General features: G+C 42.9%; 1 long non-coding RNA gene and 1 pseudogene across 9 annotated transcripts in view; one reads left to right on the forward strand and one right to left on the reverse strand.

The window, feature by feature from the left end:
• Positions 1–26,914, forward strand: part of LOC105369225 (uncharacterized) — a 72,359-nt gene extending 45,445 nt beyond the window's left edge. For 5 of the 9 annotated variants that reach the window (XR_002958152.2, XR_007065814.1, XR_001752910.3 and 2 more), the window contains 2 exons: positions 9,489–9,628; positions 22,091–22,333. This is a non-coding gene — a long non-coding RNA (uncharacterized LOC105369225). Of the gene's footprint in view, positions 1–8,973; positions 9,629–17,842; positions 22,334–26,329 lie in introns of those variants that run through there. The other 4 variants (XR_001752914.2, XR_007065816.1, XR_007065815.1 and 1 more) reach the window with 4 other exon arrangements.
• On the reverse strand, positions 17,394–22,754 carry RDM1P1 (RDM1 pseudogene 1; annotated as a pseudogene).
• Positions 26,915–27,176: the final 262 nt, after the last annotated feature.

Raw genomic sequence — 27,176 nt, forward strand, 5'->3', positions numbered from 1 at the left:
GGCCAGCAGAATCCAGTTAAGTCCACTAATAAGCTCTTGGCCTGTCTTTGAGATGGATTTCAGATTCAAAATAGACTGACCCTATCACCCTGCTAACTTGGCCAGTCAGTATTTGTCAATAACATAGAGGCTTCATTCAAGAGATTTACTGGGTTGTAACTATTGGAACCCAGGGATGATTTCAGGATTTTGTGGGGCCTGAGCCTTATCTAGTAAAAACATTAAAAAAATTATGACTACAAAAATTTCCAGGGGCCCTCCCAGGACCTTGGAAGGGCCTGTGCAAGTGAGAAGCCTGGAAGGTTAGGCTCTATTCAATTCATCATCGATCAACCACAGCTGGGGCCTCTTTTTTTGTTTGTTTTTTATAAACTTGTGTAATGCAGGGAAATATATTGTTTCAACTTACAAACACCACAAAATGGTGTCATATTGGTCATAAAATTACTGGCACCTTCCCTTGGCATCTTGCCTTTGGAAGGAAATGCAGTGGGCCTATATGTCACATATGCCAAATATGACTGCAGTGTAGCTTTGTTTACCAGGAAGATTTGACTCCAACGGAGCCCAGCCCCTAACATACACTTGATGTGTTGAGACCCTTGTGCCAATCTTTGAAAGTAACTGTGACTTAGTTTGAAGGGTACAGCTCTATTCTGTTTATATGAAATGAGTGCTAGTTTCCAATATCAGCTAGCTCTGATTTTTTCATCACCATGAAGCAAATGCCTTTTTCTGTTCTTTAAGATGAACACAGAAACTCAAGATAAGCAAGTTAGTGTCTCTCAAGTCTTTCTTAACCCAGCCCCCATTCCTGCTTTGTCTTCTCCTTGTCACCCTGCCGTACAGATCCCCACATGGCTCTCATATGTTTTCCCATCAGCATCCGCTTCCTCCTTGAGGAATGAAAGTCCCCTGGGGACAAAGTCCTCATCTTGGTGTGTCTTTGAGATGGATTTTGTAGCCCCAGCACTTAGTACAGTACGTGGCACAAATGGACATGGCACTCTGAATGTTTTTGAATGAATTCATTAATTTTTATCAACTGTGATTCCAGTGTTTTCCTGGTGTTGCCTACGTAATTGTAGTGAAGCTGGCTAGATGATGATGATGATGATGATTATTATTATTATTATTATTATTTGAGACAGAGTCTCACTCTGTCCCTCAGGCTGGAGTGCAATGGTGCCATCTCGGCTCACTGCAACCTCCGCCTCCTGGTTTCAAGTGATTCTTCTGCCTCAGCCTCCTGAGTACCTAGGATTACAGTTGCCTGCCACCATGCCCAGCTAATTTTTGTATTTTTAGTAGAGACAGGTTTCACCATGTTGGTCAGGCTGGTCTTGAACTCCTGACCTCAGGTGATCCACCCACCTCAGCAAAGTGCTGGAATTACAGGCATGAGCCACTGCTCCCGGCCACCAGATTTTTATGAGGGACTCCCAGTGGTATAAAGTGCTTAGTAAAGATGGTGAGTTTAAAACATTTGTATTGATGCTACCTAAACCTCTTGGTGGAGGGACCTAATGAGCCTGTTCTCTGGTGTGAGGGCAAAAGAAAAACAGACCTTTAGTGTACTTTTCCTAAGTTATGCATCAGCAAATTAATGAGGACAGAGGGGAGCATGTGCAGAAACTGCTGCTCTAGTCCAGACACATCCTGAATGCCTCCCTCTAACTTGAAATGAACTGTGTGAAACTAGATTTCTGAACCACAAGGCAGGTGGAAAGTCTTTTCTAAAGTCAGATGTAGAGGAGAATCTTCACCTTGAGTCCCCTTCAGGCCACTGAATATACCCACTCTGATTTGATGGGTATGTTATACAGAGAAATCATAGAATTTTTGCAATTATGGTAGAAGAGTAGTCAGGAAAGTATATGGAATTAAGATACAGCGATATATTTTCTTTACAAAAGTTTTTTTTTGCACAATAGCTTAACATAAACACCATCTTGGCCAGGCATGGTGGCTCACACCTGTAACCCCAGCACTTTGGGAGGCTGAGGTGGGCGGATCACCTGAGGTCAGAGGAGTTTGAGACCAGCCTGGAGGGGAGGTTGGAGGGTAGTGGCACAATCTCGGCTCACTGCAACTTCCACCTCCCGGGTTCAAGCCATTCTCGTGCCTCAGCCTCCCGATAGCTAGGATCACAGGTGCCCGCCACCATGACCTGCTAATTTTTGTATTTTTAGTAGAGATGAGGTTTTGCCATGTTGGCCAGGCTGGTCTCAAACTCCTGACCTCCAGTGATCCTCCCACCTTGGCCTCCCAAGGTGCTGGGATTACAGGCATGAGCCACCATTCTGGCCCTACAACTTTGGATTTGATTCCTGCTCATATGCAGAGTTTCTAACTGCTTAAATGTCTGCAACATTTAGCTGCAAGGAAGGAAGCTTAACACAAAGTCCTCCAGGGAGCAAAAAACTGCACCACCACGCCCAGCTAATTTTTTTGTATTTATAGTAGGGACAGGGTTTCACTATGTTGGCCAGGCTGGTGTTGAATTCCTGACCTCGGGTGATCCACCCACCTCGGCTCCCAAAGTTCTGGGATTACAGGTCTGAGCCACCCCGCCCAGCAACAAGGCTAATTTGAGGGTCACTTCTTTGATGCCTTTTCTTGCCCATGCTATAGGTCAGAACTAGGACAAGCAGAGGAGGTCATATATAAGCTACGTAAGTCTCTTGGCCTCTTTGTACCTTAGCTTCCCCATTTGAGAAAAATGAATGGATCTTAAGACACGCTTTTCAGAGTTGATAATGGGCTTATACCCAGCTACCCAATAATTGTATGAGTTTTTGTACATAAATAGTTGTTTACATGTATTCATCTTCTATTTCACTTACAACTTATGTAAAAACTGCATTCCGTGCCAGGCCTGAAATGTTCCAAAGCTGAGTTCTGTAATTACATTGCAACTAAGATTTCTAAAAAAAAAAGACACAAGCCAAAGAAAAAAAAAATTATTTCAGAACATTTATCATTTGCCATGATTCTAATTTATATAGGATGGAACATAACCTCAATCCTTTCTCTATGCACTAAGGAAATCTGACTGTGGAAGATACTGGCTTATGATTTATACTTTAACACTGCACATGTGGTGCATTAGATACAAAACAGTGAATGCTCAGTAAATACCTGTGTTAAGTGATCTTTATTTCTCTAGAACAGGATTTCACAACTTCAGTGCCATCAACATTTTGGACTATATAACTCTTTGCCATGGGGGTTTGTCTTATACCTTGAAGGATGTTTAGCAGCATCTCTGGCCTTTGCCCACCAGATGCCAGGAGCACACCCACAGTTTTGTCAACCAAAACTGTCTCCGGACATTACCAAATGCCACCTGAGTGCAAAATCACACCACCTGAGAACCACTGCTCTCTGATGATTCACTAAGATCTGTGTAATAATTCTCACAATAATCCTTGCTAGAGACAAAAAGGATTTGCTGTATAATTTTAGTAGCTTTCTACTGGTAAAATTTTAATCATATTTCAAGAATAGCAAAAAGGTTTATAATTAAGTTTTATAAAAATTCCAAATGTAATCAAGTTATATTTGTAACTTACATAAACTTCAAAAATGGTAGTGGTTCAAATGTATGTCTTTCAATAGACTGTATTTTATTGCAGGATAAATCTCTAGGAAAACAAAAATATTGCCTTGATTAGTTATTAAATGTCAATTGGTATGAATAACAGCAAGAGTTTAGAATAATACTGAATACCTATTTTTCATCTCAACTCTAAACGTTTGGACTTGTATTGGAACATTCCAGAGCCCCTAACCCTGCCCATACCTCTCCTAGAGTCTCACCTTCATGGTTTTAATAAATATACAACATAATAGACTTTGGAATTAATTTTTCCTGAGAGCAGTAGACTTGATTAGATGCCCTTTTGTAGTGTCATCAAATCTTAGATTATGAGCTCAAAGATTTTATCTCTATATACACAATTTCTAATATTAAAAAAAATAGTCGGGCCGGGTGCGGTGGCTCAGGCCTGTAATCCAGCACTTTCGGAGGCCGAGGCTGGCAGATCCTGAGGTCAGGATATCGAGACCATCCTGGCTAACACGGTGAAACCCTGTCTCTACAAAAAAAAAAAAAAAATTAGCTGGGCCTAGTGGCACGTGCCTGTAGTCCTAGCTGCTCAGGAGGCTGAGGCAGGAGAATGGCATGAACCCAGGAGGCGGACCTTGCAGTGAGCCAAGATTGCACCACTGCACTCCAGCCTGGGCGACAGAGCGAGATTCCGTCTCAAACAAACAAACAAACAAACAAACAAGTCTCACATTTCTACACCTTCTTAGTTTAGGTCTGTTTTCCTAAGCCACTTCAATATCAGAAGAAATAAAAGACATCCTTTCACATCATTTGAAAGGAAGCTACCCCTTTACCTAATACATAACTTTGAACTAATTCAAATCATATTAATAGAATTAATTTCTATCATATTAATAGAAATTCATTTTTGGTTTTGTATTGCTTTAATATTTCATAAAAAAAAAATTTCTTCAGTTATACAGTGATGGAGTTTGTCCCTCCCTCTTTACCTGGATGGTGTAACGTTGTCTGGCTGATATCTCCATCTCTAGTCTCTCCCTACCTAAACTATCCTGCACACAGTCATCATATAAACTCTCCAGAAGTGGCTTGCAAAGACCAGCATCTCCTGGGAAATTACTGAAGATGCAAATTCTTGGTCCCACTCTAGACCAACTGAATCAGTAACTACGAGGGTGGAGTCCAGAACTGAGTTCTAACGTGCCCTCTCAATGACTGTGATGCAGATCTACCTTACAGCGCTGCTGTGGTAACACGGTTCCCCATGTTGGCTCCTCAGCTTGGCATTCAAAGCTCTAGAAGATCTGGCTCCATTTTCCTACTCTCCCTTCTTGTACTCTACGGGTACTCATGGCATTCCTTGAATACTTTCCTGTGTTTTGCCCTCCCATTTTCCTTTTGCAAGTTTAGAGTATTTTCCCCAAGATGTCTGTCTGATGTTACACAATGGCCCTTCAAAGTCCTATTCAAATGGCATTGTTCTAGTAACATCCTCCTGGGTCCAAATTGAAGGCATTTTTTCCTCTTCTATGTTCGAGAAACAATTTATCCCTCCTAGTGCCCACATCCATTTCTTCTTCTTAATGTAGTTATTTTTTATCCCATTTCTTCTGAGCATAAACTCCCTGAAAGCATGGACTAGGTCTTGCTCATCTGCATTGCCCACCATGTTTAAAACTGACACATGGAAATAAAGCAAACTCAAATATTTGTAAAATAAATGAATAGCTGGGGGAGTGAGTAGAAGGAAAATAACTATTTTAAAGGAAATGTAGTTTTATTATTTCATGGTCTCTGTAGCACTTTGGCATCCACCTGAGGGTCTTTACACCCACTTTCCTTAAGCCTTCTATATTTGAAAGAATCTGTTTGCAAAAGAGCATCACTAATGAGCTTAATAAGGATTAATGACATACAGACCTCTATGGACAAAGGGTAAGAATCAAGCTTTCATAGCAATGAACATAGTATCTTCTTGTCTCTAAACAGACAGAAATACAGGGATCCCTTTCTGGTAACAGGGCTGGGGCGATCGTTATTTTGTAATTAGTGAAGAGTTAGGGGCATTTCTGATGTGCTTCTTAGTGTAAACATTTCTAGCTCTACCAGTTAACCATCATTTTAAACATCTGTTTTAATATAACAATTCCTGAAATGAAATCCTTAATACCAGTCTATTCTCTTGGTAGCTTAATATTCTTGATAATATTATTGATATAATTCAGCTATTTTTAATATTTAAATGTTAATTTAATTCCGATTAAATTACCAAAAAATTCTGGATTAATGATGTTCAAATGAATGCAGGTGGTCTCCATTTTCTTCTCCTTTAGGCAACCATCTGAAGTTAACTTTAGTTCCTTTCATCCTACTAAACCAACTTTTTGAAATTTTTTTTGGTGAAGGTCAGACAGTAAATATTTTAGGTTTTATGGGCCACATATGATCTCTCGCATATTTCTTTGTTTCTTTTCTTTTTCTTTCACAGTCCCTTTAAAAATGCAAAACCCATTCTTAACTTAATGGGCTATTTAAAAATAGACCATAAATTAGATTGGATCTATTGGTTGTAGACTGAATAGAAAAAGAATGATATGTGAACCCTTATAAAACAAGGTTCATATGGGTGTCAGTCACTGCTCAGATTTTCTTACCATGTGAAATGTTTTTGTCTGTATTTTGTCTATATAACTTAAAAACTGAAAATGCACAGGAGGTAGCTAGTGCTAGAGATGGGCTGAGACCCTATACAAACTTACAGAATTGCAGAATTTTATTGCTCAAAGAAATCTGAGAGATTATCTAATTTGAACCCCTTATTCATTTTACAGATAATATGACTAAAAACTCATAAATATAATTAACTAACTTACAAATACTGGAGGGATAGCAGGCCTTCAAATGAATCCTTGTGTAATTCAGTCAAGTTATTTTCTCTGAGAATTCTGGAAAATGAAGAAGTTATTTCTAGATTAAAATGCAAACTACAACTATTTGCTACACAGAACCATCTCCTGCATGTGGAGGAAAGCTGGGTCATGGTCACTTCAAGATGGTGGGATCTGCTCTGCTTTCATTCAAACCTTTTCTTATATTTTCCTTTTTGTGTCCATCTCTCTCCACCACCACCACAAACACACACACACACACTCAAGCACACCCCTTGAAGAGTGGGTTTCTTCCCACCAAATTCTATTATTTCATGCCTCCTCTCTAGATCACAAAATCCCTTTTAGAATCCAACTCTGGGTGGCACCAAGATCAGCAGAACCTCCATTTCCTCCTCTCTTTTCCCAAACCTTATTATGAAAGCCCCACATGGAACCATGTCAGGGCTGCAAGTGAAGCCATTCAACCTTTTTCCCCCCATCAAAAAAATTGGAGAACTATAATGTGCATAAAGTGCACATAACATAAATGTTGTTTATATTTAATTTAATTTAATTTTTGAGACAGGGTCTCACTCTGTTCCCAGACTGGTCTCAAACTCCTGGCTCAAGTGATCCTCCTGTGTCTGCTTCCCAAAGTGCTGTGACTGCAGACATGAGCCACCTCACCTGGCCAAAATATTCAGTTTAATAATTATGAAGCAGATACCCATGTAAACATCGTTACAAAAGATCATTGCTAGCATGCCAGAAGCCCCAGTGTGCCCCTTTCCAATCATATCCCTCTCTCTAACCCTAATAGGTAACCACTATCCTGACCTTTGTAATAATTTTCTTGTTTTTAAAATGTAGTTCTGGCCTGGCGTGGTGGCTCATGCCTGTAATCCCAGCACTCTGGAAAGCCAAGGTGGGTGAATCACCCACGGTCATGAGTTTGAGACCAGCCTGGCCAACATGGTGAAACCCTGTCTCTACTAAAAATATAAAAATTAGCTGGGTGTGATGGAGGGCACCTGTAATTCCAGCTACCCAGGAGGCTGAGGCAGGAGAATCGCTTGAACCCGGGAGGTGGAGGTTGCAGTGAGCCAAGATCGCACCATTGCACTCCAGCCTGGGCAACAAGAACAAAATTCCATCTGAAAAAATAAATAAAGCCATTCTCCTGCCTCAGCTTCCCAAGTAGATGGGATTACAGGCACCCACCACCACGCCTGGCTACTTTTTGTATTTTTAGTAGAGATGGGGTTTCGCCCTATCGGCCAGGCTGGTCTCAAACTCCTGACCTCAGGTGATCCGCCTACCTCCCAAGGTGCTGGGATTAAAGGTGTGAGCCACCGCGCCTAGCATATGTTTATTTTTAATTTAGAACTCATCGTGGCTTGTCTATGTACATTGAAATAATGATGTGACACACAAACTGTTGTGAAAAATGTCAGTTACTTTGAATGTAAGCATTTTTTCCAAAATCACTTATGTGTCTAAACCAATTCCTTCTATAAATCAGTAAGAAAATGATAAAACAATTCAACAGGAAAATGAACAAAGGCCAGAAAACTCAGAGAAGAAACACAAATGTTCAATAAACATATAAAGATACTAAATTAAATTCATGAGTAATCAGAAAAATTCACATTTAGATGGAATCCCTTTTATTCATCCATAACTTCAGCAAAAAGTTGGAGAATACCCAGCGGTGAAAAGGTGTTGGGAAATGAATGCTGTCATATTCTGCTGACAATAGAGTAAGTTGGCACAAAATTTTTGAAGGCAATTAAAATTTTATATCTACATAGTCTTCACCCCAAGAATTCCATTTCCAGATATCTATGCTACAGGAATACTTGCACATGTTCACAAAGAAGCATGTACAGGGATTTCATTGCAGCAATGCATGTAACAAGAAAACTAAGCATAATCTAAACATTCATCAATGGGGGAATTATTAAATAAACCATGATGCATCCATACTATGGATTATGCAGGAGTTTAAATGAATGGGGTGACCCTCTAAGTACTGGGAAGGAAAGAAATCTAAGGCATATCATGAAGTGAAAGAATTAAGTTGCAAGATGTTACCCTTTATGCGAAGAAAAAATTTTAAAACCACAAAACAAATCTATTTTGCTTTATGTAAATATGTATGTAGGTAAATGAGGAAAAGTCTGGAAGCATGTATACTAAATGCAGAGTAGCATTACTTCAGGGATGAGGGAGTAGGGCACAAGGAGAGTTTTTGTTATATCTGTTATTGCATTTTTATATATTAAAAATGGAATCATGGGCTGCGGGTGGTGGCTCATGCCTGTAATATGAACACTTTAAGAGGCCAAAGTGGGAGGATCACTTGAGCCCAGGAGTTCAAGACCAGCCTAAGCAGCATAGGAAGACCCTGTCTCTACAAAAAATACAAAATTAGGTGGGTGTGGTGGCATGCACCTGTGGTCCCAGCTACTGGGGAGGCTGAGGTGAGAGGATCACTTGGGCCTGGGAGGTGAAGGCTGCAGTGAGCTGTGATTGTGCCACTGCACTGCAGCCCAGAGGACAAAGTAAGACCCTGTCTCTGAAAAAAAAACAAAAAAGAGAACAAAAAGGAATATAACCATGTACTATTTGTATGATAAAAAATAAATTTAAATTGCCTCTTATTTTAAAGAGAGCCTACCAAATTTAATTTTAAAATGACCATACAATTGCAATCAACAGTGGTTGATTTGGGGCATGGAGGAGAAATATCTTTCCTCAGAGGTACCGACCTCAAAATTCTGGACCAAGAAGGATCTTACAATGCAGTTAGCTTTTTGTCATATTTGGAGAGAATATACTCACAGTTTCTCAGTCCAACTGTATGCTTTCCATACATTTCCATCAATGTAAGAAATATAGTTTCCTTGGAAATTTCTGTGAAGAAACACAGTTTATATCCTTGAATAGGTAGGAAAACAATGAACACGATAAGTAAAAGAATCATTGCAACCTTGTTGGGGATATTCAGAAACAGAAAATAACACCTGCTTTCTCATTTCCAGAGCTATCAGCTTCCCAGTTTGCACAATTCATCAAGAAATTATGCGGGGTCACTGGCACAAATGATGAGGCATCTCCTGGAAGCTTAACTTCTTATCCATCCCATCTCTTGGACAGATGATGCCAGTTAATTACTTTGAATGTAAGTATTTTATCTAAAAGCACTTATGTGTCTAAACAGACTTCTACAAATCAGTACCAAAATGGTAAATAATTCCACAGAAATATGGGCAAAAGCTTATCATTATCAACAAATGAGAAGAAAGAAACCCTATGCCAGGTAACACCAAAGCTTTGGCCCAGTGCCCTCTGTTGAAACATCCTAGGCTTTTTCTTTCCACTCCTATTACAACTGATCTGATTTGGCCCCTTCACACTTCACTCCTAGATTTTGCTAGACCTTTCTATTTTGTCTCCCTGAATTAAGCTTTTCCTTTTGGACACTTTACATATGGATTCTAAAACAATCCTCTGCATGTCTACACTTGCACATAATGCAAAAAACAAAATAAAATAATCTTCCTGTTTTGATCATGTAATCTCTCTTGCTTGGAAACTTTCAATGGCTTTCCATACCTCATTGTGTAACTTTCAAACTCCTATAGCTGATAATCAAGGTTTTACAGAATCGTATCTTCATTGCTCCCTCACCTAATTCTTTGTAGCCACATTGGTCTACTAAATTCCAACCATACCTGTAGCCATGCGTTTGCCTAGACTGTACTCCCATTTTTCTTCTATTTAACAAATTATAGCTACTCTTTAAGACCCAAGTAAAGTTTTAGCTTACCCATGTAGCATCTCCACACCTCAAGGATCACAGATTCTGGCAAATTCTAGCACCAATGGTCTGCATTATCTTTTAGTACTTAATTATATATACCTCCCTTTTTATGCCTATTCTCTTTCTTCCCTCCTATCATTTTTTTTTTTTTTTTTTTTTGAGATGGAGTCTTGCTCTGTCACCCAGGCTGGAGTGCAGTGGTGCAATCTCGGCTCACTGCAAGCTCTGCCTCCCAGGTTCACGCCATTCTCCTGCCTCAGCCTCCCGAGTAGCTGGGACTCCAGGCACCCACCACCATGCCTGACTAATTTTTTTCTGTATTTTTAGTAGAGATGGGGTTTCACCATGTTAGCCAGGATGGTCTTGATCTCCTGACCTCATGATCCGCCCGCCTCGGCCTCCCAAAGTGCTGGGATTACAGGCGTGAGCCACCACACCCAGCCTCTTCCCTCCTATCATTTTCGTGTTCTGGAGACAGTAGCATACTTGGCCCTGGGTTTGACATAAAACTAGTTCTACATATAGAAAGCTAGGGACAAAAATGAGTTCTGGACAAAACTAAAGGACTGAATAATCATGTGAACAGCCAACTCTCCTACATATGCTAAGCACTGATGAAGTGTTTCATATATTCACTCACCTAAATTTCACAACAATCCTATGAAATGCTAACTAGCATGATCCCCAGTTTAAAGGTGAGGAAATTGAGTCACAGGCAGAATAACTTGCTCTGGGTCACCAAGCTAATAAATAGATCTGGGTTCAAACCCAGGCAGCCTGGCTCCGGAATCAACTCTTAACCACTTAGAGCATCATCACTGAGATCGGGAGAGGGACAGGCTGCTGTAAAGAGGGTGAAGCGAAAATGGGAGGAGAGCAGCGGTTAAGCAATGATGTGATGGGGCTAAATAAAAATGGATACAAAAACGAGTAAAAGACCAGAGTAAAAGGAAAAGACTGGAGAAGGGACCTAACATTAAAAGAGAATGAGGAGAAGGGAGAGTTGACAAGCAAAGGTGAAAGCAGAAAGTCAGTTGTCCATATGGCTTGGGGAGATAAAGAAGGCCCAGGAAGGCCTCCAGGAAAAGGCTGCCATGTCAGGCAGGACACAGAGGACAATTGAGGAAAAGTGATTCTTACAAGATGGTGAAGGTGCCATTGTGGGTGTTGGGCTCTGGCACAGGCACTTGGCGGAGCCTCTGCTCTGGGTTGAGATCAATACATGACAACATCTCATCTCCGCAGGTACAGAGCTCACATATGTTGGTGCTTGTGGAGGCCTTCTGTTCCTCTGGTGCAGTTAAAGCCTTATTTTGGGTGTAACTTTCAGACTGCACCAGTGAATCCTGAGCAGGTTCTAGTTCAGTAGGTGGACCTGTGACTTCAGTCAGGCTTCGATGCAGACTCTGAACCCGGTCTGGATGAGGAGCTGTAGTCTTCTCCAGGGCTGTAGAATGTCCAGTCTCTGTAGTGGGTTCTGGAATGATGGCAAGTCCCAGGTCTGGAGGCTGAGTTGAGGTCTCCTCTGTGGTTGGAGATGGTTTAACCTCTGTAGTAGGTTTTGTAGTTATGGTAAGCTCCAGGTCCAGAGGTTGAACGGTGGCTTGAGTCAGGTGTGAATGCTGAGCCTGACCCTTGTCTGAAGGTGGAAGTGTCACCTCAGGGTGTCCTGGAGGAGGAGCTGTAGTCATCAGGGCTGTAGAAGGTTCAACCTCTGTCATGGATTTTGGAGTGATGGTAAACCCCAGGTCCAAAGGTTGAACTGTGGCTCGAGTCAGGTGTGAATGCTGAGTCTGAACCTGGTCTGGATGTGGAAGTGTCACCTCAGGATGCTTTGGAGAAACTATAGTCCTCTTCGGGGCTGTAGAATGTCCAACCTCCGTAGTGGGTTCTGGAGTGATGGTAAGTCCCAGGTCCAAAAGTTGAACTGTAACGCTGGGTGACACTGGATGCTGAGCTTGATCCTGACCTGGTGTTGGATTTGTTACCCCTTGATATACTCGAAGTTGGGGTACAACTTTCTTAGGAGGCTGAGTTGGGGTCTCCTTCATGGTTGGAGAAAGTTCAACCTCTGTCATGGATTCTGGAGTGATGGTAAACCCCAGATCCAAAGGTTGAACTGTGGCTTGAGTCAGGTGTGAATGCTCTGGAGGTTGAGCTACAACTACATTAGGGAACTCTGGAGTCTGAGCTGGGGCCTCCTGATGGGTTAGGGAAGACTCACCCTCCTCAGCGGTCTGTGGATGCTCAGCTGCAGCCTCCTGCTGGGTTGGAGAGGGGTTCTCATTATTAATAGGTTCCGGAGATTGAAATGAAGTCTCCTGTTGAACTGCTAAAGGTCCAGCTTCTTCTGATGACTCTGGAAGCAGAGGTGGGCCCCCGTGCTGGATGGCGGGAGGTTCTACATCATTACCTGACCCTGAGAGCCGAGCTGTAGCCTCCTGGTGGACTAGAGAAGTTCCCACCTCTGCACTAGGCTCTGCTGCTATGGTGAGCTGCACGTCTGGAGGCTTCACAGAGACACTGGGTGAATCTAAATGATGAGTTTGATGGTGACCTGGAGGTGAAACTGTGACTTCATGATGTTCTGGAGGCTGACCTGGGGTCTCCTGCTGGGTCAGAGAAGATTCGACCTCCCTAGAAGACTCAGAAGGCTGAACTGGCTGCTGCTGCTCACTGATGGAAAGTTCATGCTCCATAGGAGAAACTGGAGGCTCAATTGGGGCCTCCTGTTGGGTTGCAGAAGGTTCCACCTCCTCTGGAAACTGAATTGGGGTCTCCTGCTGGGCTTGGGAAGATTCTGTCTCATTGGTAGGCTCTGAAGTTATGGTAACCTCCACATCTGCAGGTTTAACTGTAATGTTGGGCAAGTGATAATAAGCTTGATCCTCACCTGGAGGTTGAACTGACACCTCATGATTCGGTAGAGTTAGACTCTCCATAGAGGACTCTGGAGGCAGAGCTGGGGCCTCCTGCTGCATTGAAGAAGGTTCTTCCTCAAGGAGCTGTGGAAGCTGTGCTGGGGCTTCTTGCTGGAGTGAAGAGGACTGGATGTCTTCAAGGGTCTCTGGATTTTGAGTTTCGGGCTCTAGATGGAATTGAGAAGGTCCAACTTGCTCAGAGGGCCCTGGAGGCTCATCTGACTTCACCCGGAGTTCTGGAGGCAGGCTACTGGGATACGGTGTATCTGTACTGGAATATTCATTCTGCAAAGTCTGTTTCTGACTCTGAGGTGTGGATAATTGGCGTGCAATTCCAATAATCTCAGCAAGGCTCCAACGCTGAGCTGGATCTTTCTTCAGCTTCTTGGGCGAAACAGGGAGTCTTTCCTGTGGACTCAGCTTGTCCTTTAAATCCTGCTGTGAAGCCAAGAACTGCTCTGGCTCCAGGGGCTGCTCTCCAGCTGAATCCCAGGTGTCCAGGAATGGAACCAAATTTTCAGTCGATTCCTGGGGTGGGGCTGGCATCTCTGAGGAAGCAGAGGGCCCCAGGTGATCAAAGTCCCACGGGTCTGCTGGGAGAGTAGGCGCATGGGGAGATTCCCGTGGGAAATGGGAGGAGTGGGAAGACCAGGACTCAGGCGGCCCCAGGGGATTAGAGGTGAGCTGGAGCGGGTCCTTGACCCACTCCAGAGGCTGAGCCTCCTTAACTAGTAGCCACAATAGTTGCCACATAAGGAGGGGCCATGGGCCCCAGAAACGCAGCCGGGACATGACACACACTAGTGCCGGGCACTGAGCAGAAGACATTCTGGCAGCTCCGAGACGCTCGTGCCCCTTCTAAGCGTGAGCCCCGCCCTGTCTTTATGACACCTTTATTTATGTCACAGATCTGCTCCATGTCACCAGGGCACTCTTATGTCACAATCCCGCCCAAGCACGCCTTCCCATCCTGCCCTGCCGGAACACCCCTCTCCTCCCCTTAGTGAGGAAGGATTTGGGCCTCAGACCCTGGTGGTCCCAGGACTCCAGCGCCTGCTGTGGTGGGGTAGGGTGGGGTAGGGTGGGGTGGGGGCGTGGCAGAGCTTCCCAAGGAAGTCACCGGACCTCGCCTCAGGATATTCAGAAGTGCTAGTTCAGTTCTGGCAGCCTTCCTCCTTTAAGGTGAAATCCGAGAACACTCTTCCTTCCAGGGAGAGCAACTGACCTGCAAAATGGGCGCCAGGATGCACATTACAGTCACTTATTCCAAAGTGTTGCCATTTTCGCTAAACTGTCGCATGTTTGATAATTAATTCACCACCCTATTAGGTAGGGGCTGCCAGGGAATAAGCGAGGACTCCAAATTTTCTGTAGGAGGGGTGTTGGGAGTTGGCAATTCGGTCTGGGAGAGAAGGTTTTAATCCGAGTGAAGAGCCCTTTGCACTAGCCTGGGAGGAGGCTGAACTGTCATCCTGCCTTGACTCAACACAGCCATTCCCCTAGAAGTTACAGCACTTCTAGGGTCACCTGTGTTCAGAGATCTACCCTGTGTGCACACATGGAGAAGAGGCTTAGGTTGTTAAAGTCAGCATGTTAAATCATTTCCTGAAATGCGACTGTAACTAGAACCCAGCTGACTTCCCCCACAGCCGTTCTTACCTATTTTATTACTGTCTGGCATAATTACCAGCATGTAAACTCCAAGAAGGTGCTTCATCTTATTTTAGTGCCTGGCATAGACATAGGGTGCATAGTGATGGCTTTAAAATTGAAGGGGGGCCGGGTGTGGTGGCTCACACCCATAATCCCAGAACTTTGGGAGGCCGAGGTGGGGGGATCACTGAGGTCAGAAGTTCGAGACCAGCCTAACCAACATGGTGAAACTCCGTCTCTACTAAAAATACAAAATTAGCCAGGTGTGGTGGTGCATACCTGCAATCCCAGCTACTCAGGAGGCCAAAGCAGGAGAATCGCTTGAACCTGGGAGGCAGAGGTTGCAGTGAGCCGAGATCACAACATTGCACTTCAGCCTGGGCAACAAGAGAGAAACTCCATCTCAAAAAAATAAAATAAAATAAAATGGAAGAGATTCCAAGATTCACCTCATTTAGGGATGGAGCTATTGTTATAATCAGATTTCTGAAATGAGTGCTGACTTCCTCTCACATTTCACAGGAAGCTAGACTTCTTAAAGCTTGAAGTCTCCTTGGTGGGTTTTATTTAAATTGAATTAAAATAATTATTTTACAGGGAAAAATTTCAAAACACTTTGCAACTTTGGGGTAAAAGTTAAATAAAACACTGTAGCCCCAAGTTAAGTTCCCACTGAAATGAGACTTTTGCTCCTTTTTTTAAAAAAAATTCCATAAATAGTAAATAATGACTGTTTTGAGATTAATTTAGAAACAATCCCTATTTAAGAGCTTTCATATGCAGTCATGCATTGCTTGCCACGTGAGGAGCTTGAGAAATGGGTCACTAGGTGATTTCACCATTGTGCTAATATCATAGCGTATACTTACACAAACCTAGGTGGTGTAGCCACCATACCTAGGGTACACGGTATGGCTTAGGACTCCTAGGCTACAAACCTGTACTGTATGTTACTGTACTGAATACTAAAGGCAACTGTCACAGAATGGCAGGTATTTGTGTATGTAAACATGGAAAATATATAGTTAAAATACTGTGTAAAAGATAAAAATGGGGCCTGGGCACAGTGGCTCATGCCTGTAATCCCAGCACTTTGGGACGCCAAGGTGGGTGGATCACTTGAGCTCAGGAGTTCAAGACCAGCCTGGCCAACATGATGAAACCCCATCTCTACTAAAAATACAAAAATTAGCTGAGTGTGGTGACGCGTGTCTATAATCCCAGCTACTCAGGAGGCTGAGGTAGGAGAATCACTTGAACCTGGGAGGTGGAGGTTGCAATGAGCTGGGATCATACCACCGCACTCCAGCCTGGACAACAGAGTGAGACTCCATCTCAAAAAAAAAAAAAAAAAAAAAAAAAAAAAAAAGATAAAAATGGTATACCTATATAGGGATAGCTCCATTATACGCTTACGGAACCACCATCATATATGTGGTCTACTGTTGACGCAAACTTCATTTTGCAGCACATGATTGTAAATGATTGACAGAAAGATCTTCAGCAAAATATTCCACCCAAGATACGTGGGAGATATTGAGATCCAAGCAATAAGCCATATTTGAAAGGCATTATAGTTTTCAAAAGCTGTAGCGCAATCATTCTTAAGGCCAGTTACCTTCTCCCCACATCTCTGGGATCCTGTTTGAAGGGAGTTCTAACAAGGCCTGTGTTCGAGCAGCCCAGCATCCCTTACTCCTGGAGCGGGGGGAGACTAACCCCTCTCCTGTGTCCACAACTGTAGTAATACAATCCTCGGTTCTGCTCTCCAAACTTCAAATAAGGGGTCAGAGCCAAGGGTTAAGACTTTAGGAAAAGCCCCGGAAATACCCTGCACTCAAAAAGCAGTTTCAGAGTTTCACATTTTCCTGAGAATTAAACAAATTATCCTCCAAATTCTGCTGCTTGTTTTGAATTATGGTTATACTGGCAATGTTATCCAACCCTTGAGTTGTTTTTCTTTTCTTTTTTTTTTTTTCCTCGAGAGAGTGTCTTGCTCTGTCACCCAGGCTGGAATGCAGTGGCATGATCTCGGCTCACTGCAACCTCCGCCTCCTGGGTTCTAGTGGTTTTCATGCCTCAGTTTCCCAAGTAGCTGGGATTACAGGTGCCCACCACCACACCCAGCCAATTTTTGTATTTTTAGTAGAGACAGGGTTTCACCATATTGGCCAGGCTGGTCTTGAACTCCTGACCTCATGATCCACCCACCTCGGCCTCCCAAAGTGCTGGGATTACAGGTGTGAGCCACAGCGCCTGGCCTGTTTGTTTTTTGAGATAGAGTTTCACTCTTGTTGCCCAGGCTGGAGTGCAATGGTGTGATCTTGGCTTACCGGAACCTCCGCTTCCCGGGTCCAAGCGATTCTCCTGCCTCAGCCTCCCGAGTAGCTGGGATTACAGGCATGTGCCACCATTTCTCCATGTTGGTCAGTCTGATCTTGAACTCCTGACCTCAGGTGATCCACCCGCCTCAGCCTCCCAAAGCACTGGCATTACAGGTGTGAGCCACTGTGCCCGGCCCTGTTACCTTTGAGTTTTTATCTCCACATACTTATATTAAACCGTGTAGTTCTTCTTCCCATCTGACATCTACAATCTCTTCACTGGGTCTGTACTCCATAGCTATTTTACCACTTTCTGAAATAAAGTTAGCAAGGATGAATTCAGAATCTTTTTCATTCCAAAACTTCCTGCATATAATGGTAGCAACCCACAATGAGACATTCTTTTAGTTTCTAAAAGCAGGAAATAAGCATTTTCCTGAAAGTTTCCTCATCTCTTCATCATACACTTCGATTTTTGTTTTTCTTTTTTCTTTTAGACAGGGTCTCACTCTGTCACCCAGGCTGGAGTACAGTGGCACTATCATAGCTCACTGTAGCCTGGAATTCCTGGGCTCAAGTCATCCTCCTGCTTCAGCCTCCAGAGTAGCAGGCACTATATCACTGTGCCCGTCTAATTCTCTTTTTTAGAGACATGGTCCCGCTTTGTTTTCCAGGCTGGTCTCGAACTCCTGGCTTGAAGTGATCCTTCTGTCTTGGCCTCCCGAAATGCTGAGATTTCAAGCGTGAGTCATCATGTCTGGTCTCACAGCTCAGTTTTTAACATATGTATGAAATATCAACTGTGTTTGGTTCAAAGGACTTTATGATCTTACAGATAGGAACTAAGGAATAATAACGTAAGAAATAAAAAATGTGGAAATAAAAATGTTCAATCATAACATGATTAAAAGGTAAGGCACCAGGTGGGGGGTCGAAGTAAGTTCAAATCCAAAATAGAGACCACTGGGCTAGTAGACACTTCACATTAGAAGCATGGCTAGGTGTCTACTCCCTGAGAACCAAAATTCCACCAGATACAATGAACAAAGCTTTAGAGAGAGAAAACATTTGAACATTTTACGGGCAGAAAATGGCCCACATACTCTATAGACAATACAATTTCCTTCAAGGCAAACTAGAACTATAAGGCTTTTGGTCTAAGAAGTGAGTGTGTGCAAGGGATACCTTTGCATACTAGGGAGGGGTAGACAACCCACACATTTAGCTTGGTTATTAAATGTCATTACTCAGACTTGACAGTTGATGACCAAGGAAGTAAGACTTTCACTAGAAGGGCTGCCCAGGTTGGAAAGCTGAGAGCAATCAGGGCCACCTCTTACAAGCAAATAAAGGTCTGTAGTAACTTAATTACAATCTCAGTCTCTAAGCCTTCAGGGTTGTGAAGCAGAAAGGCAACTCTGTTCAGGGACTCGTTAAACACCAGGTTTCCTTTGGGCACAGGCTATGACATTTGTGCCACTGTAGAACTGAATAGGAAATACAAGCAGTGCCATTCAACAGCATGACCACTTCCAAGGCTCACAGCAAAGCAGCTGATTATTGTATAAGAATCATATTTGGCCAATATGTCAGTGCCAGAAATGAGAGCTGGAACTGAATTCTCGATTCGAGAAACATAATCTAATAAATTCTTCAGCAGAGTTTATTTATTCAGAGAGAAAACAATCACAACAATAGCATATTTTGTCTGCTTACCTTGTAAGTATAGTTCTGAGTTTTTACACTTGTCATCTCATTTTTTCTTACAATATCAGCAATAAGGTTGATTGGATTACTAACCCCAGTTTGCAGATAAAGATTGCAGCTTAGAGATATTAAATATCTTCAAATCTCTCTGGCCATAAGACCTAAAACTGCATACAAAAATCTAAGAGACAGAGTTAGGACTCAAATCCATGTGTCCAGGGCTTATAATCACTATTCTGTACGATAGGCATGCAATTAAAGAAGACCTGCCTCAAACATTTTCTGTGTGACCTGAGGCAAGTCCTTTTATAGCTATAAACTAGGGACAATATTTGCTGTCATTTTTTCTACAAATGTCACAAAGAACAAATTTGAGCCTGTCGCTGTGAAAGAACTTAGCAAATGAAAGCATCCTAGGGAGTGTTTTAGATATCGATATTTTTATCCAATTAACTTTTCAAAATGAGTTTATTTGCTCACTGAAACTGAAGTACTTCAACGACGATTAAGAAAGTTTTACCTAGAACCACAATCAACAGTTTCTGGAATGCATCTGACAAAGCCTTCTCAATAGCAATCTGGGCTATCTTCCCTTTCATAGGAATGACAACGGTCTTAAATCCAACCCAAACTAATGGATTTAAGATGCCTATCTGAGTGATCATTGCTACATGTTGGTTAAAAAATAAAAATGCATCCACGAATCTTAGCTCATAATCTTCGTGATTAAAGGCAGACAGCACAAGGGTATGGTTGAACGTCTCTGTTATAGGTACATCCTGGCAGGGCCCATTTTTACTGCCTCCATCTAGTTGGGAAGTTCCTAAAGTACTAGAGGGAGACATAAGCCAAGAACCTGGCACATATCTCACATCACCCAGAGATTTAATTCATCAGTTAAGGCTACACTCCTATGGACCCCACCCTCCTATGCATCAAGGGCTGGAATCACTCACTGAAAAAAAGCTTTGTTGGCTGGACACGGTGGCCCATGCCTGTAATCCCAGCACTTTAGGATGCCAAGGCGGGTTGAGGCCAGGAGTTCAAGAACAGCCTAGCCAACGTGGTGAAACCCCATCTCTCCTAAAAATACAAAAATTAGCCGAGTGTGGTGGCACACACCTGTAATCCCAGCTACCTGGGAGTCTGAGGCACAAGAATAGCTTGAACCGGGAGGCGGAGGTTGCAGTGAGCCGAGATCATTCCACTGCACTCCAGCCTGGGTGACAGAGTAAGACTATTTTCAAAAAGAGGCCAGGCACAGTGGCTCATATCTGTAATCCCAGTACTTTGAGAGGCCAAGATGGGCAGATCACTTGAGGTCAGGAGTTTGAGACCAGCCTGAGCAACATGATGAAACCCTGTCTCTACTAAAAAATTTTTTAAAAATTAAAAATTGGCTGAGTGTGGTGGTGGGCAGGAGGGAGGTGAACTGCTTGAACCTGGGAGGTGGAGGTTGCAGTGAGCCGAGATCACACCGGTGCACTCCAGCCTGGGCGACAGAGCAAGACTCTGTCTCAAAAAAACAAAAAAGGTTTGGTACAGATAATCTGGCTCCTCCCTGGGCATCATCCATGAAAGCCTACTCCCCTCCATTAGCCTACAGCCCTGCCTCTGACTTCAAACCCTAAGCCTGAGGGCCATGAATACTAGAAAAAAATCTCAACGTCAGTTATCAATTGAGTACCCTTTCTAGTATCTCTAGTAGACTCTTGTTCCACTGAAGCCCTTCTACGAGTAAAAAAAAGGCTGAATGGGCCGGGCGCAGTTGCTCATGCCTGTAATCCTAGCACTTTCAGAGGCCAAGGCAGATGGATCACGAGGTCAGGAGTTTGAGACCGGCCTGACCAACACAATGAAACCCCATCTCTACTAAAAATACAAAGATTAGCCAGGCATGGTGGTGCATGCCTGTAATCCCAGCTACCCAGGAGTGTCAGGCAGGAGAATCACTTGAACCTGGGAGGTGGAGGTTGCAGTGAGCCGAGATCACACCACTGCACTCCAGCCTGCGCGACAGGGCAAGACTCTGCTTCAAAAAAAAAAAAAAGACAATGTTTACACAAAACTTTCTGTAAATCTTTACATGATGACTTGGCATGGTGGGTGGCTCATGCCTATAACTCCAGCACCTTGGGATCCTGGGGGAAGAGGATCACTTGAGGCCAGGAGTTTGAGACCAGGCAGGACAACACAGCAAGACCCCATCTCCAGAAAAAATAATTAGCCACATGTGGTGGCACACGCCTGTAGTCCTGGCTAGTCAGGAGGCTAAGGTGGGAGGATCCCTTGAGCCCAGCAGTTTGAGGTTGCAATGAGCTATGAGCATGCTACTGCACTCTAGCCTGGGCAACAGAGCAAGACCCTGTCTCTAAAAAATAATAATAAATAGATAAACAAATCTTTAGATAATTTTGTTGGGATAACTGAAGGCTATAAGAGATACATATTTGAAGGACTATTTTAGACGAGATTGGGCGCGTTCAGGGTGGTATGGCTGTAGACTTGAAGGACTATTTTAATACAAAGCAAGTTCTTAACCGAAAACTGGAAAAACATTACTTCCTTCTTCCTCCTACGCTTCTTGGCAGGAAGTACACTGTACAATTTTAAATTTAAAGGTTCTGGCCGGGTGGGGTGGCTCACACTTGTAATCCCAGCACTTTGGGAGGCCAAGGCAGGCAGATCACGAGGTCAGGAGATCGAGACCATCCTGGCCAACATGGTGAAACCCCATCTCTACTAAAAATACAAAAATTAGCTGGGTGTGGTGGTGGGCGCCTGTAATCCCAGCTACTCAGGAGGCTGAGGCAGGAGAATGCCTTGAACCCGGGAGGCGGAGGTTGCAGTGAGCCGAGATCACGCCACTGCACTCCAGCCTGGTGACAGAGCAAGACTCTCTCTCAAAATTAGTTAATTAATAAATCAATTTATTAAATAAATTTATTAATTAATAAATCAATGTATTAAATCAATTTATTAAAGCAATTTATTTACTTATTTAAAGGCTCTGTCAGGTATTGCCTAAGGTAAAAGTCTGTATTGTAAGACAGAAAACCTCTGCCCAGGACTTCAGTAGCTCAGAGAGGGAAAGGCTTGATATGTGTCTGAAAAGACAAGTTTTAGACAGCAAGAAAAAAGAGATCCTTCCCATTTCAACTCCTTACCCTCCTCTACCCCCAATGAAAACAGACCTTCCTTCGCCTTATCCACAGGCTCCTCCACCAAGCCAAGGCCAGACTCCTGCAATCATAGGATGGCAACACCACCTCTAAAGCACAGAACTTCAGGCTTTGCTTCGGAAGTGGCACCATGGTCTCTTCATTTTCCCTTTCTTCAAGGTCAGAAAACTGAAGCTGTTAGGAGTTTTAGTGTTAAGTTCCTTCCGAGGATGTTAATTAGGCTTCAAACTGTTTTGTTCTGAGAAATAAAAACTAAACTCCAGTCATTCAAGCTAACAGTTGAGGTGTTCTATGGCTTCAAAATCAAGTAAGATTTGTAAATGAATTGCTAGGTGCAACCATTACTTATTATATGCCACACAAACAGTGGAGAAAATTATGGACACCACCATCCAAGTGATTGAGATTATTAATTTTAGGTAGCAGGCCAATTCAGACATGTCCACTTATCCTCAATGGCAGGGGGCCTCTCACATCCCCTCCCTGTAACCCAGTTCAATACTTCTGTCTAAAGTCTAGAATTTCAATGTTGAAAGGAGAGCGTGGTTAGTGAGAGAAAATCCACAAAGTTTATCCTGATGATCCTTTCTGACCATCCATTGAAACCAAAGTAGTAATTCACCAGTTCTTGGCATCAGGAGCTGTTTCAGGCAAGGGCCTGATGTGCAACTGCCTTATGTCTGCTGCCAAGAGGAACCTAAAGTCACAAGAGACAGACCCACAAATATCACAGCCTGCCAGAGATTTTATTTTGGATACACCTGAGATTTATCAATACCAACTGTGCAAAGAAAAGAAATTGTTTCAGTCTTCCCATTCAGTAGCTCCTTCTTGAGAACATGACCTGAAGAATAGATAAGATGAACCCACCCATCCCCCACCCCAAGTTACCCCTGCTTAAAGAGGAAATACACATACCTCTATACATTTTACAAGCAACTAAAACAACTAGAGGTTCATCTGCATTTATAAGCTTCTTTGACAATGCAAATATCTACTGAGTGTTAATTCTTGAAATATTTTACACATTTCTGTGAATTTCTTACATCACCAGTTCTTTCTTATGTCTATTTCATTTTGTAAGTGTAGAATATGATTATATTCATGAAACTCAAATGATACAAATAGTCAAATTTATTGTATTAGAAATTAATAAGAATAGTAAAGTTAATTCTTTGTTGATTTGTTTATGCACCTTCCTCTGTCACTGGTTTATAAGCTCCATAAGTGCCAGAGGAAAACATATCTTATTCTTTTTTCATTCCCAGAACAAAGCACAGTTCTTGGCATACAATACAGGATAGATGATCTGTTGATTGAGTGAATGAATAAAACAATGAGCAAGTAAAAAATGAAATTACTTTTTCCCACTGAAGAGAAAGAGAAATGCTTGTTGGGAAGGAGAAATGAAGACTATTTTTTTTTTTTTTTTGAGACGGAGTCTCCCTCTGTCGCCCAGGCTGGAGTGCAGTGGCACGATCTCGGCTCACTGCAAGCTCCGCCTCCCGGGTTCACGCCATTCTCCTGCCTCAGCCTCCAGAGTAGCTGGGACTACAGGTGCCCCCCCACCACTGCCGGCTAATTTTTTGTATTTTTAGTAGAGATGGGGTTTCACCGTGTTAGCCAGGATGATCTCCATCTCCTGACATCGGGATCCACCCACCTCAGCCTCCCAAAGTGCTGGGATTACAGGCGTGAGCCACCACGCCTGGCAATGAAGACTAATTTTTAAACGTTGAGTGCTACCACGGAGACCAGCCTGTATCATGAGTCACAGTGGAGACTTTCGGAACATCTAGGAAACTTCAGAAGGGCTCTGAGCCCCTGGGTGGTACAGACAGTTGTCACCTTGGATAACGTTGCCACAGTTCTTGCTGGCGACCATTTCCCTTCATTTCACTGAAACAAAAACAAAAACAAAAAACCCTCACAGATGCCTTAGGCCTTTCCTTGATTTTAAAACATTATTCTCTTTTCTGTATTTATAAAAACCAAAAAAGACAGGAACTAGGTGCATGTGCTAAAGTAGAAAAGAACACTTAAGGCCAGGAGCAGTTGCTCATGCCTGTAATCCCAGCACTTTGGGAGGCTGAGGTGGGCAGACTGCCTGAGGTCAGGAGTTCGAGACCAGCCTGACCAATATGGTGAAACCCTGTCTCTACTAAAAATACAAAAACTAGCAGGGCGTGGTGGTGGGTACCTATAATCCCAGCTACTTGGGAGGCTGAGACAGGAGAATCTGGGAGGCGGAGATTGCAGTGAGCAGAGACCGGGCCATTGCACTCTAGCCTGGGGAACAAGAGTGAAACTCCACCTCAAAAAAACAAAAAATAAAAGGACCCTTAAACTAGATAACAGTGGGGGTCAAGTAGTAACCCAAGGCTCTGAGTTCAGTAAGTAAATAAATCTAATATGAATGCCCTCTCCTCTCACTCATCTATTAACTTGTAGAACATTTCCTTCATTACTGCATCAGCGATGAGCTTTATGCTGTGAAATTCTCAAAATCTAAAGCTTATGAAGTGGTCTCAAGGTCCAAAGCACACTAAAAACTCATTACTTACAAAATGATACCAAGTAACTGTTTCATCATCTTTACCGTACCTTTACCATATTTGAGTGGCTATGTGAAATGGTCACAGGTTAGAAACACATCATAGTCCAAAAGTTGAAGAATATTCCACAGGTAATCATTTCAGTCACAGGAAGTGGAACCAGGATTGAAGAGGGTGTTGAATAAGCTACAAAAGTGGGTATAGTATACCTGGAGTCATTACTAAGCAGAGTTCTCAGATTTGATCAAGGTTAATTCAATGAGAAATGGAATATATATAGACAATAGGCAACAAGATTAGCAGGAAGCAGTCAGATCAAGTAGCCAATCAGGAATTGAAATCGGTCCTTGAAAATGGAAAGGTGATTGAATTGAGGCATACAATGAGATATCCTTCTGTGGCTCTGGGAAAGTAAAATTGGTTGGCATGTTAACATGGAATAGGATTTCTACAAGGCCGCTTAAAGAATGTTTCCATCCTCTGAGAACTGAAGGGAGTTCCAAATAGGCAGTTTGTGACTGATGATGAGCATGTTGATGATAAAGTCTCCTTTATATAACAGCCGGCAGACGACTTGGTCACACCCACACATCTTAAATTCACATAAAGGTAAATATATGGTCAGGCGTGGTGGCCCACACCTGTAGTCTCAGCACTTTGGGAGGCGAAGGCGGGGGTGGATCATTTGAGGTCAGGAGTTCAAGACCAGTCTGGCCAACATGGTGAAACTCCATCTCTACTAAAATACAAAAATTAGCCAGGCATGGTGGTGCATGCCTGTGGTCCCAGCTACTCAGGAGGCCGAGGCAGGAGAATCACGTGAACCCGGGAGGCGGAGGTTGCAGTGAGCCAAGATCGCACCACTGCCCTCCAGCCTAGGCAACAGAGACTCCGTCTCAAAAACAAGTCAATATAGCTGGGCATGGTGGCTTGTACCTAGCTACTTAAGAGGCTGAGGCAGGAGGATTGCTTGAGGTCAGGATTTAGAGACCAGCCTGGGCAACACAGGGATACTCTGTCTCTAAAAAAATTTTAAGAAGTACCACCACCATGCCCAGCTAATTTTTTTTGTATTTTTAATAGAGACGGGGTCTCACCATGTTAGCCAGGCTGGTCTCAAACTCCTCACCTCAGGTGATCCACCCGCTTCAGCCTCCCAAAGTGCTGGGATTACAGGCATGAGCCACAGTGCCCAGCCGAGAACTTGCATTTCTAACAATTCCCAGATTGTGCTGTTTGGGGAACCATACTTTGAGAAACACTTCCCTATAACCTGATAGGTTATTTCCCCTAAGATCCAGATGAGTAAAAATTAATACACATTAGATGAAATTCCAGAAGTTATCTTCGAACTCTGCTACTCATTGAATGTCATGAAGATATTGGAAAAAAAAGAAAAAAACAAAAAACAACCTTGCTACTCAACGAGGGATTTGCTATTATCACGTTTCAGAGAAATTCAGAACCTCAGGCCTAAACGCAGGCCTACTAAATTAGGAACTGCAGTTTCTCACAATCTTCAGGTGATTTCTATGGTCATTAAAGTTTGAAAAGCTGCCTTGAAACAGTCCTTCCTAAAACTGAAGTGGAGGTGCCGCAAAAATCATCTGGTAAATTGTTTAAAGTAATCCCAAATGCAACTCAAATCTACAGAATCCCAGGTGAAGCTCAGTAATCTGTATTTTTATCCTTCTCCCCAAATAATTCTGATGTGCAGGCAAGTTTGAAAACCACTGCTTTAAAGAAAATGGATACTCCCCTTACCAAGCAGAAAGTAGGATTTTGGAAACTGATGCAAGGGAAGCAAAAAGATGCCTCAGGAGGCACGATTACAACAGGATTGATGCAAACGGAAGCTGAAGCTTAACCAAAGACATTAATATACGCCCACAAAAGAAAATGCTAAGGAAGTCAAGTGGTCTGCATGAATTCTGAAGAAAAATGGAGAACCAAAGAACAAAATTTGTCAATGAATTTCCAGCACAGTCTAGGTTAAGGGAGTGAATTTCTTGACTGAATGGCACAGACTCTGTACCACCTGATTGGCTGTTACCTTAATGGAGGAATTATATTACAATGTATAGGTACTTTAATTAGAATGACCTGGCAGTTACTGAGGCAAAATTTTCCGCTCCTTTGTATTCTGTAATACAAGAAGGATCTACATGGATGTTCTGTTCTCTGAACTGTCTGGATGAACCGGTCAATGGCACTCATCATACCTTAGTTTTTAAATCTGCATTGTGGTCATAATCTGTTATTTAATTAATTTCTCGTATTTTTAATAAAAACGTTGCCTATATATTTTAGACAGAAATTGCCTTACTTTGCTGAAATGCTGAGAAATCCTAGACAGTTTTCAAGGCTTGGCTCAAATGTCACCTCTACTACCCTTTGCTGTGCCTCCTGGCACTGTGCTTCTGACACTTTGTACGGTCCTCCATGACAGCGTGAGCACAATTATATTACAGGCAATTACTCATGCCCCCCTGGCTCAACTGTGGACTCCTTTAGAGCACAGATCATGTTTTATTTATTGTAGCAACTAAAACAATTATTTATTC

This window comes from Homo sapiens, chromosome 17, assembly GCF_000001405.40.
Source record: "Homo sapiens chromosome 17, GRCh38.p14 Primary Assembly".
In the NCBI taxonomy this organism is placed as follows: domain Eukaryota; kingdom Metazoa; phylum Chordata; class Mammalia; order Primates; family Hominidae; genus Homo; species Homo sapiens.